General features: G+C 39.2%; 1 protein-coding gene across 5 annotated transcripts in view, besides 1 other annotated feature; it reads right to left on the reverse strand.

Annotated features, from left to right (window-relative positions):
- The window catches only part of STX7 (syntaxin 7), a 67,606-nt gene that overhangs the window by 52,801 nt on the left and 2,354 nt on the right, over nt 1-12,451 (reverse strand). For all 5 annotated transcript variants that reach the window (NR_137169.2, NM_001326579.2, NM_003569.3 and 2 more), the window contains exon 2: nt 4,779-4,921. Coding sequence is in view for 4 of the 5 variants with exons in the window: in NM_001326579.2 (NP_001313508.1) it covers nt 4,779-4,863 (85 nt within the window). In the remaining variant the exon portion in view is untranslated. The remainder of the gene's footprint in view (nt 1-4,778; nt 4,922-12,451) is intronic.
- Nucleotides 423-632: an enhancer, noted in NCBI's record as "active region_25071". NCBI's record gives its function as "activates an Ori minimal core promoter by ATAC-STARR-seq in GM12878 lymphoblastoid cells {active_cell/tissue: GM12878}" and the evidence as "EXISTENCE:reporter gene assay evidence [ECO:0000049][PMID:35858748]".

Consider the following 12,451-nt stretch of genomic DNA (forward strand, 5'->3'; position numbering starts at 1 on the left):
TGTGGTGCAAAGTATCATTTTATTCAATCGCACCCAGTATTATTAGCATTACCAAATGGGGAAAAAAGTGAACTGAAATTTCACACTTCTGCCTTTCACTTCCACGTGATTTCTGCATAGCCCTTATCAGTACACATACTTGACAGTAGTTAGATTTTTAACAATACTTTATCTAATCTAAACTCCCCTTCATTTAGACATTGAATCTCAGAATTAGAAAAAGTACAGTGATGACTGGTTTCACTAAATTCATGGCCCCAAATCTTAAATGTATACTCAACACATTTGCTAAACCCCCTTCTTTCCCGCCCATTCTCTATCTGATGACCTTGCTTCCCATTTCATTTAAGAACAGACCCACTCAAACAGGAAATCTCCCATGTTTGCCCACCATGTTTCCATCTGTACCACACGTAGCCTCACCTCTATACGGTGGATGAAATGTGAACTTGCTAGTGGTCCATTCCCATGCCCTCACTTTCAAAACATTTCCTTTGCAATTATACGCTTACCAGAATTTCTCTGTTGCAGTGTAAAATGGAACCCTTTCTTTGATCCTCTTTCTACTTTCATAGCAGAGTCTGCTAGTTGCCTACTAAATATTGATTCTCTCATCCTTCTTTCTCAAATAGAATAATCCCCAATTTTAGTGAGCACACTGAAATCCTGCTAAGATGTTTTCAGCCTCTCTGGCAGCTAGGTGTAGCCACCTGATCAATGACATAAGCAGAGATGAGGAGAAAATCTGGAAAGTCTCTTTAAAATGGAAAGAGTGGGTGCTTCTCCTTCCCTTCCTCCATCTACACTTGCAATATGGCTATGAGAATGTTCTTTTCAAAGTCACCAGTTTACCAAATCCAATTATCTGCTTTTATCTTAGTCTCTCAGCAGCATTAGGGAGAGATAATGCCTCACTCATTCTTGAAACATTCTTTAATTTCTAGAAATCTACCACATCTTGATTTTTATCTTACCTCACAGGTCACTCCTTAGATTCTTCATGCTACCTTCCTGATTTCCACATTTTTTAATGTTCCAGGCCTCTTCTCTTTCCTCACTCTTACGTGATTACTTTACACCTATGGTTTTAAATACCATTTATACTCTGAGGACACTCTGACTTCCAAATTCCTGTATCTAAAGTAGATGTTTGATATCTCCACTTAGATATCTAAATGATATCTCAAAATATACTTAGTCAAAACAAAACTCTCCCCTACTTGTCCTGAACTGTAGTCCCTCCCGTTTCAGTACACACTTGCCACCACCTAGTCGGTTGCTCAATGCAAAAACTATGGAGTCATCTTTAACTCCTTCCTTCCTCTACCATCCCTACCCACATGCATCAGCAAGTCCCGCTGGCTCTACCTCCAAAACACACTCATTGCTTCTCTCCATCCCCACTGCCATCACCCTGGTGCAAGCCAGCATCCGAGCTCTCCCCAGACCTCTGTGATGACCAGCATACCTCCCTGCTATTCCCTCAATGTCTATTTTCTAAGCAGCAGCCAAAGTAATTTTTTCACAGTGTAGATCTGATTATGTCTCTCCTCTGCTTAAATGCCTCCAGTGATTTCCACTGCCTCTTAAAATGAAATCTAAACTTCCTGAACCACCTGCAAGGCCCCAGCTGACCCGCCAGACCCCTCTGGTTTCATCTCCTGGCACTCTTGCCCCAGATGCTGTGCTTCAGCCACACTAGCTTTTTCCCTTTTCCCTATTTTCTGAGTATTTCAAGCCCAGGTCTGCTTTTGAATTTTTAATGCTAGTTATTCCTTCTGTCTGAAATGCCCTTTCTCTGAATCTTCTCACTACCAGTCCCTCCTCATCCTCATTCAAAGACCATCTAAAGTAAAGGTAGCTTCCCCAGTCACTTGCTCTCACCTCACTTTCACTATATTTTCTTTACAGAAAGTTAAGTTGCTCATTATTTCTCCTTACTACACTGTAAACTACAATGAGAGCAGGACCTTATAGATTGTTTACTGCTACATTCCTACAGTTTGGAACAGTATCTAGCAAGTACTATGTATCCCAAAAATTATTTGTTGAATGAATCACAATAGAATATCAAAATTAAAACCCTCTTAGTCTGAACCATTATTCCTATGTTTAAAATTCTTATTAATAAGTCTGAGAAATATCTGACCATCCTTTTTCTGGTCACTGATAAGGAATCTCATTCCTCCTGAGGGAGGCAATTCTACCTTAACAACTTGGATTATTCAAAAGCCCTTCCTCCTTCTCAAGGTGAAATCTGACTACCTGTAGCTTCCGTACATTTGTGGAGGCCCCTATGTTCATGCAGGACATATGGCTTCTGTTTCACATATGACAGTGATTCAAACATCTGCAGATGGTGACTGTACCTTCACCTGCATGAACAGTCCCTGTCTTTTTTTTTTTTTTGAAATGGAGTTTTGCTCTTGTTGCCCAGGCTGGAGTTCAATGGCGTGATCACTGCAACCTCCGCCTCCCAGGTTCAAGCGATTCCCCTGCCTCTGCCTCCCAAGTAGCTGGGATTACAGGCATATGCCACAACAGGCCCAGCTAATTTTGTATTTTTAGTAGAGACAGGGTTTCTCCATGTTGGTCAGGCTGGTCTCGAACTCCTGACCTCCCGTGATCTGCCTGCCTCGGCCTCCCAAAGTGCTGGGATTACAGGTGTGAGCCACCATGCCCTGCCAACAGTCCCAGTCTTCTTAACAGCTCTTCACATAGACTGTGGAGTATCATAGCCAGACCTTCACATGATCCAATACTGCCCCGGATGTACTCGCACACTTAGCTACCAACCTGCCATAAATATTCAACTCTGGCCCAATCTGTCACTTCTCATCCTCTGGATCAACTGATCTCTTTCTTAGGGAACATGGCCTGATTTAAGTCAACTCTTTTCTCCTTCCAGTTCATGTTCACACACAATCTTCAATCCATGTATCTTTCATACTACCTACTGCTTGCTACTTCTACAATCTCAGTACAGGACAGTCATTCCTCATCCTCAATTCCTAACACTGTTTAGCTTTCCCAACACAGGATGCTTATCCTCTTCTTTGGAGAAAGGCCTCTTGGCCTCCTTTCTTGCATAAAGGTCCTAATTTTCCACATATGTAATTAGAATTATAAACTTCCTTAATTTTTGCACAGGTAGCCAGATACACTTGGGGCAGACCAGTGCTATTTCTAACCAGCAGCAAGGGAGCCATTAAAAAAAAAAAAGAAAAGGAAAGAGGCTCTTCTGTGGCCACCATCAGAACAGATCTGATGCCAGAGGAGCAAAGCAGAGCCAACGCCGGTGGCCTGTGACAAACTGCAGCAGTTCTCAATGTACCATTCCTACAGTCCCTGCTGTGGACAACGTGGTGCCTGGCACTGTGCACTTCCTTGTTCTTCCAGAAATAGGTAAAAAACCCAGAAATCACCCCAAATCAGAATAAGGGTTATTTTATACCACTGTGCACAGCAGCACCTTTTTAGAGTCTAGTTTTATTCTCTTTGCTCCTAAAACACACTAGCATCTCATTTAAATAATTCAGGTAGAGGAACAGCTGTTGAGGAGTTAATGATTAGATAAAGAAACAGAGTATGGTCATTTGAAAACACTATTTCTGCAATGTGTTAACATTCTGTTAAAAAGAATAGCCTTGTAAGGAACTAGGCTGAAGAATAAAACTATATTAACATACTCCGAAGGATGAAAGAGTTCAGGTAATGCCCCGAGGGCCAAACCCTGAGAGCAAGACTAGAATCACCCAAGGTATCTGATTAACCATAATTTACAAACAAAAAAAAGTAAAAAAAAATAAAAAAATAAAAACCTATCCACTCAAATCTGCTATAATGATTTTTTTAATACATATCCTGACGATGAATACTTCCGAATGAAGTGCCACACTGCATCAGTCTACTGGTAATCTATCTCTGACAAGTATAGCAAAGAATAATTTGGCCGGGCGCGGTGGCTCACGCCTGTAATCCCAGCACTTTAGGAGGCTGAGGCGGGAGGATCACGAAGTCAGGAGATCGAGACCATCCTGGCTAACACGGTGAAACCCCGTCTCTACTAAAAATACAAAAAATTAGCCGGGCGTGGTGGCGGGCGCCTGTAGTCCCAGCTACTGGGGAGGCTGAGGCAGGAGAATGGTGTGAACCTGGGAGGCGGAGCTTGCAGTGAGCCAAGATCGTACCACTGCACTCCAGCCTGGGCGACAGAGTGAGGCTGTCTCTAAAAAAAAAAAAGAATATGTGGGGAATGCAGGTCTGATTTTCTAAAATACCTTCCTCAATAGATTAAAACGTCCTCTCCTTAGTTCCTCTTGCTCCTTAATAAGGTACCACATACTTGCCCATCATAAGATTAACCTAATCCATATCCAGTCAGATTTTATTTTTAATAAACTTTATGTTCCTTAAGCCCTTGGTAGTGCTACCTGGTTCCAAACCTATGAGACTGAGTCATCAGGTCTCATCATCTCATCTAGAACCAGATAGCTTTAAAGCAGATATAAGAATCCATTATCCTTTTAAATCTTTATTTTATTTAATGAAATAATGTATTATGTGCCTGGCCCTGACTTCCTATAGAAAAATGCAGTAAGTGTTATCTCAAATATAATTCTCTTGCATTCATTCTAAAGAGTTCGAGCCCTTTAAAACCTGTTGTTAGAGGAATGCTCCTCCCTCTCTCAATCAGCAGAGTTGTCCTTTTATGAACCTCCACCAAGTTCAGTTAAGAGTGGATACAAATAGTGAAGTCCATTTAAAACTCAACTCACAACACTGTGTGATCTTCTGGATGTTAGAAGAGATCCTCTGGGCCAACTGGGCGGGGTCACCACCAACTCCTGGAGTGTAAGACATGGTTGATGTTCTTATTCGCTAATTTCATCAGATGCTGTGCAGTTTTCTAAGCAGTCACCTAAATAATATAAAAGTCACACAGATATATTTTTTAAGTTACTGGCTTACATTTTCCAAATTAACAATCTGTGAAGTTACAAGGACAAACTTGATTAATCTAATAGAGTTGAAATCTGGCAAAGTGACACATCAAATAGCAAAACTCTCATGTCTACTAAAAAAAAAAAAACTGGACTTCAAAGGACAGAGTCATGTTAAACACATCAAACAATTAAAATAAGGTTCAAATTGCATATTTCCTTTGAAAACGTCTTTGATCTCTTCAAGAAAAATTATTAAATCCCTTACCTGTATATAATTTTAGTTGTTTACATATTTTTTCCTTAACTAAACTCCAAACAATTATAAGGCAGGGCCCACATGCTTATTTATCTTTCTCCAATATTTAAAACAACTCTTAGCACAAACAGGCATTTAAATATTTATTAAATGGAACACAGACTTCAGGCTATCCCCAGAAATTTCACTGTATTAGGTTGTGCAAAAGTAATTGCAGTTTTTACCATTACTTTTAATTGTGGTTTTTGCCATTAAAAGTAATGGTAAAAATGGCAATTACTTTTGTACCAACCTTAATATCTAATTTAACACACACACAGGACCTGCTCAGGAATGTATGATTAATAGGGCTCTAATTTTAATGGAAAAGGTTAAATCTGAAATAGCAGAGCCAACTACTGCGAAGCAAATGTCATATAAAATGTTTATCAAACCTTCCTGACAGAGGAAGGAGAACGAATGACTCTCCCCTTTCAGCAGCCAGCATCTCAGAATAGAAGAGACACTGAGATACTGCCACAGGAGGCAGGTGAGATGACATTCTCTACCTCTTCAATCCACACCACTCCAATCAGGGTTTGGAAAGAAGGTTGAAAAGGAATGTCCCTGCATACAGAACTGCGCACAGCAAAGAATTTCAACTACCGCCACCCCATCTTTTCCATGAATATGCACTGGAATACTGCAAAATTGTTGGTGGTCAATTTGTAAGCTAGCTCTCTACTAAGAGCCTGGTACATGCCCAGCATTAAACTAAGCACCTGGGAGATGCAAACAAAACAAAACACACTGACACAGTATCTGCTCAAATCAAGTTTGTCATTTAGGAGGAAGGATAAAGTTAATAATGCAAACCAACAAAAAACCCCACAAATCCATAAAAGATCACGTGCTAGGCTAAAATGAGAAGGGCTACAAAAAGAAAAAATGACCATCATCCTTGTCTGGAAAGAATTTATGAAATAGAAACATAGGATTTGGATGCTTGGTTATGACCAGTATGCAGAACAACAAAGGCAAGGACGTGAAGGCTGGGGTGGAGAGACCCAGAGCACGTGGAAAGGCCACATGCAGTATGGTATTTACAAAAGGAAGGGAAGGTTCCTGGCCAACCCTGGATCAGATGATTCACAGCTGGGACAAGGGGAAAACAACATAAAGGGAAAGAGAGGAATGGCCTAACATTTCTCGCACATCTGCGACACAAAAAGTATTTCACAGACTAATTTTTTCACAACCTCCTTCAATTAAGTGGCATTATTCTTGTTTTAATGATGAGCAAACAGCGGGCTTATTATGATTAAGTAATGGTAACCCAACCCACCCACAGGTGGAGGTGAGATTCAGTCCCAGGGTTCTGATGCCAAGGCTATCCATGCTTGCTACCACATAGAACTAATGCCACAGAAGATTTCTGGTAGAGAAGAAGCCACAGTGAAGTATGTGTCTTTGCTCTAAGGGACAGTGTTGGCAGGAAGTACAACAGCTGAACTGTTGAGACCATTAGAACAGTACTGGTTCTATGCCTGGAACTCTGGTGCACTTTGAATGTGCCTGGCCACGCTGAAAGTCCTGGTGGCTTTTAGATATTCTCCAACTTCCCTCTCAGGTACAGCTGATCTATTCTGGGCTCTCTGGGTCTCACCAAATCCTAGAGATGGATCCAAAAGCAATTTCATTAAAGGGTAAATTCAAACCTAAAGTCAGACAGCTGGACCACTACAGTGGGGAGACAGGAATAAACTTCCTTCCAGGTAGCCTTGGACTTGGGCCCAGACAGAACAAGAGTAGACATGGGGATTCAATGACACCAACACCATCCGGAACATCCTTGAAACCATGCAATTTTAAATGCATCTCCAAGTCACTTAAAAAAAAAAAAAAAAAAAAAAAAACACAGGTTTTGAATAGCCAAAGCAATTTTAAGAAAAAGAACAAAGCTGGAGGCATCTCATTGCCTGACCTCAAATTATACTAAAAGGGTATAGTAACTAAAACAGCATGATATTCATATAAAAACAGACACATAGAACAATGGAATGGAATAGAGAAGTCAGAAGTAAAGTCACATATCTACAGTCAATTGATCTTTTTGACAAAGTTGACAAAAACATACACTGAGGAAAGGACGCCCTTTTCAATACATGGTGCTGGGAAAATTGGATCGCCCCATGCGGAAGAGTGAAACTGGACCCTTATCTGTCAACATATAAAAAAAAAAATCGACTCAAGATGGATTAAAGACTTAAAAGTAATACCTAAAACGATTAAAATACTAAAAGAAAATATAGGGAAAACTCTTCTGGACATTGGTTTAGGAAAAGAATTTATGACTAAGACCTCAAAAGCACAGGCAACAAGACAAAAAACAGACAAAATGAGATTTAATTAAACTAAAAAGCTTTTGCACAGCAAAAGAAATAATAAACAGAATGAACAGACAACCTGCAGAATGGGAGAAAAATATCTGCAAACTACACATCCAACGAGATTAATATCCAGAATTTACAAGAAACTCAAACAACTCAACAAAAAACCCCACAAATAACCCCATTAAAAAGGGGGCAAAGCACATGAATAGACATTTTTCAAAAGAAGACATACAAATGGCCAAGAAGCACATGAAAAATGTTTAACATCAGTAAGCACCAGATAAATGCAAATTAATACCACAATGAGACATCATCTCACAACAGTCAGAATGGCTATTAAAAATTCATCCACAAACACATCTTGAACGGAAAAAAAAGAAAAAAAGTCAAACAAGTACAGATGTTGGCAAGAATGCAGAGAAACAGGAACACACACACTGTTGGTGAGACTGTAAAGTAGTACAACCTCTACAGAAAACAGCATGGCAAGTCATCAAAGAACTAAAAATAGAATTAATATTTGATCCAGTAACCTCGTTACTGGGTATCTACCCAAAAGAAAAAAAAAACCATTATACCAAAAAGATAATCTGCACTCATATGTCTATTGTAGCAATATTCACAAGAACAAAGATTTGGAATTAACCTAAGTGCCCATCAAGTGTCTATTAACATTCCTGAATGGATAAAGAAAATGTAGTGTATATAAATGCAATGGAATACTATTCAACCTTAAAAAAGACTGAAGTTATGTCTTTCACAGCAACACAGATGAACTGGAGGCCATTATCTTAAGTGAAATGACTCAGAAAAAAGTCAAATGCTGCATGTTCTCACTTGTAAGTGGAACCTAAATAATGTGTACACATGGACAGAGAGTGGAATAAGAAGACATTGGAGACTCAAAAGGATGGGAGGGTGAGGGATGAGAAATTACTTAATGCGTACAATGTACATTATTCAGGTGATGATTACACTAAAAGCCCAGACTTCACGCTATGCAATATAACCATGTAACAAAACTGCATGTGCACCCCTTAAATTTATATAAATAAAATGGCTTTATTGAGATATAATTTATTGAGATATGGCAATACAATACACCTACTTGAAGTACACAAGCCAATGGTTTTTAATATATTTACAACATTGTACAATCATCACTTTTAGAACATTTCTATTACGCTAAAAGGAAAGTTTGTAATCATTAGCAATCGCTCTCCATTTCTCCCCAACCTCACTGGCCAAAGGTGACTACTAATCTACTTTGTATCTTTATAGCTTTGCTATTCTGGACATTTCATAGGAATGGAATCATACAATGTGTTCTTCGAGACTAGCTTCTTTCTCTTAGTATGCTTCCAAAGTCCATCTGTGCTGTATCATATATCAGTCCTTCATTCCTTCATTATTGCCAAATAATATTCCTTCATTATTGCCAAATAATATTCCAAGGTATGGAGAAAGACAATTTTCTCTTGGTTCAATGACATCTTCCTTTCTCCTTTCCCTCTATCAAGTAGATCTCTGGAAAAACTGGCTTACAAGCCAAAACAAACACATTGAATGAAAAAATGTTCAGTTTGTTATTCATGTAATCTCTGGGGATGCTCCTCCATATACATGGTTCCATTTTAATCTATACCTGAATGAGTCGCACATCCATGTCTCCAGCTCGTACCCTTGGCTTTCTCTCGTGTCTACATGTCTGTGAAGCTACAAGAACTCAGCCATTGCCTGTGCGGCACACCATGGAAGTAGCAACTGGAAATTTCTACTTTGGGCAAGACACTTAGCATTTGGGCCCACTGCCAGAATCAAAATGAGATAATGCACATCCAGAGAACAAATGCTTTTCCACCCTACACAGAGGAAAGTTATGATCTGTTCTTGCAGCTGCAGGACCAGCATCAGCACAAGACCAAGAGAAACTCATCACCTGTCTCAAAACCATGCAAGCACACCTGAGGCCTACTCTCTCTCCCATAAAGAGTTCCATCAAGTCAAGGACAGTATTCTACAGCATTTTCCTTACCCTTAAAACTCACACCAGTGTAGCCCAAGTCTTCTCACTGTTTTCTTTCAAGGCCACCTTTTTTCCTCTCTGGAAAATCAATCACTTAGTCACAAACACAATCAATTTTCTTCATCCCTTTCCTCAAGCTACTAAATGTGAGAAAGTTCCTGCTGGTGAGACAATTGGCAAGTGGCTTCATTCACCCAAAGAGGTGCTACTTAGATTGACTGGAATTATGAGTTTTGTTTTACTTTTTCTTTGTTTGGCGTTGTTGTTGTTTGAGACAGGAGCACCCAGGCTGGAGTGCAGTGGTGTGATTACGACTCACTGCAGCCCTGACTTCCAGGCTCAGGCAATCCTCCCATCTCAGCATCCCGAGTAGCTGGGTCCACAGGCACCTGCCACCACATCCCACTAATTTTTTGATTTTTTTATAGAGATGGGGGTCTCACTTTGTTGCCCAGACTGGTCTTGAACTCCTGGGCTCATGCGATCCTCCAGTCTCAGCCTCCCAAAGTGCTGGGATTACAGGTTTGAGCCACTGTATCTAGCCAGGAATCATGTGTGAAGAATGAAAAGCAATTTGCAAAAGATAGAGAAGAAAGATGTGTAAAATAAAACAAAGTTAACAATGGCCAACACTCATCCAGGACTTACATTTCCTAAGCATTGTGCTTATGACTTTTAAATTTATTTTCTCAGTTAATTCTTATAAGCCTATCATGTGGGTATAATTGCTAATGTGATTTTTTTACATGAAGAAACTGAGGCATATCATTATGCCTCATTATCATTATAAGCAAAGGAGCAAATATTTGAAAATAACCACAGAGCCGACATTTTTTAAACACTAAGCCATACTGCTTCCTTGTATAACAAAATTGAGGGCAGGTGAACTCAGTTAGAAAAACCAAATTTGGGCTGGGCGCGGTGGCTCACGCCTGTAATCCCGGAACTTTGGAAGGCCAAGACAGGCAGATGACAAGGTCAAGAGATTGAGACCATCCTGGCCAACATGGTGAAATCTCATCTCTACTAAAAAAATTAACTGGGTGTGGTGGCATGCGCCTGTAGTGCCAGCTACTCAGGAGGCTGAGGCAGGACAATCGCTTGAACCCAGGAGGCGGAGGTTGCAGTGAGCCAAGATCACGCCACTGCACTCCAGCCCGGCGACAGAGCGAGACTCGTCTCAAAATAACATAACATAACATAACATAACATAACATAACATAACATAACATAACATAACATAACATAAAATAAAAAAAGACAAAAGAAAAACCAAATTTACCACTTTTCTGCATGCCCCATATGAAGTTTTGCTATTCCCACTCCTAAGATGAAGGAATATGTTTGGGATAACTACATGAGTTGATCAAGGTAACACAGAGGAATAGCTTACTCCTTTTCTCTATTATTCTGCTAATAAGTGGTATCTAAAAGGCAACAACAGTTGGCTCTTTTGATAATGAGACACACAAAGGAAAGGAACCAAATGGTTGTCTTTAAAAAATATATATACAAGCATAGACAGACAGGATAGGTAACTACAAATTGATTAAAAGCTTATGATCTCTGCATATAGGCTAAATGGATGCTGAGTTATTCAGATGTCTGCTTTCCACATCAGTCTCCATTACCTAGCCCAGAGCTGCTACGCACTAAAGTACTCTTGTTGAATACTTTTGAAAGCCCACTCAGAATTCCTATTTAATTGCTCAGAATAATAATTATATAATTCATTACCTAGACCTGTACTAACAGACTAGCCACTAACTAAATGGGCTGTTAAAATTATAGTGGTTACTAGAAGCAGAGAAGGATGGCGGGAAGGGGATAGCCAAAGGTTGGTTAACTAACACCAAAATACAGCTAGGTAGGAGGAATGAAGTCTAGTGTTCTATACCCCTAAAAGGTGACTACAATTAATTACAATTTATTGCATATTTTCAAATACTTAGAAGAAAGAATGAATTGTGAATGCTCTTAACACAAAGAAATGTTAAATGTTTGAGGTAATGGATATGCTAATTACCCTGATTTGATCATTACACATTGTACACATCTACTGATGTATCACATGTATCCACAAATATGTAAATCATTATCTGTCGATTAAAATAATAAAAGCAAAAAAATCTTATTACAGGTTATTTTAAGCTGCTAACAAGATAACTGATTGCAGTAAGAAACTACACTTTTACTCTACATTTCATTTTTTCATGTGACAATTTACACCATTTTATATTGTGTATCACTTAAATTACATTGTAGCTCTCGTTTTTAAAAAATTAAAATTAATTAAAATTAAGTTAAATGAAAAAAATCAGTTCCTCAGTCACACTAGACACCTTTCAAATGTTCAAAAATTCTGTGTGGCTAGTGGCCAGCAGCTTGGACAGCTCATTCATAGACCACTTCCATTATCACAGAAAGATCTATTGCACAGTGCTAATCTCCACATTGCAATAATCATCTTTCTATGAAGATATACAAACACTATAAAGAGAAAAACAGGAAGGGAGAATCAAAGTGCAACACTCAGATGAGAGTCTTCTCAAGACGGCTTCTAAAGAACACAAAGGAATGAACAAAAGGAATGTTAAAATTTAATCTTGAAGTGTCAAACACTACTCCCAGTTAAAATCCGATATACTGTAGAATCCTTAAGATTTCCATTTAGCATATATCTCATGCTCTATAAATCTACCCTGGGCAAAGAAGTAGTCAATTTCACTTTCTTAATCATTAGCATCAGCATAAACAACTGGACTTCTCTATACCCTCTACCCCAAGTAAGTTCTGAGGGGTGGGGGGTGAGCATTTTTTTGTCTGTTTTGTGGACTGCACTATTCTCACT

The sequence above is a fragment of the Homo sapiens genome, chromosome 6 (assembly GCF_000001405.40).
Source record: "Homo sapiens chromosome 6, GRCh38.p14 Primary Assembly".
NCBI lineage: Eukaryota > Metazoa > Chordata > Mammalia > Primates > Hominidae > Homo > Homo sapiens.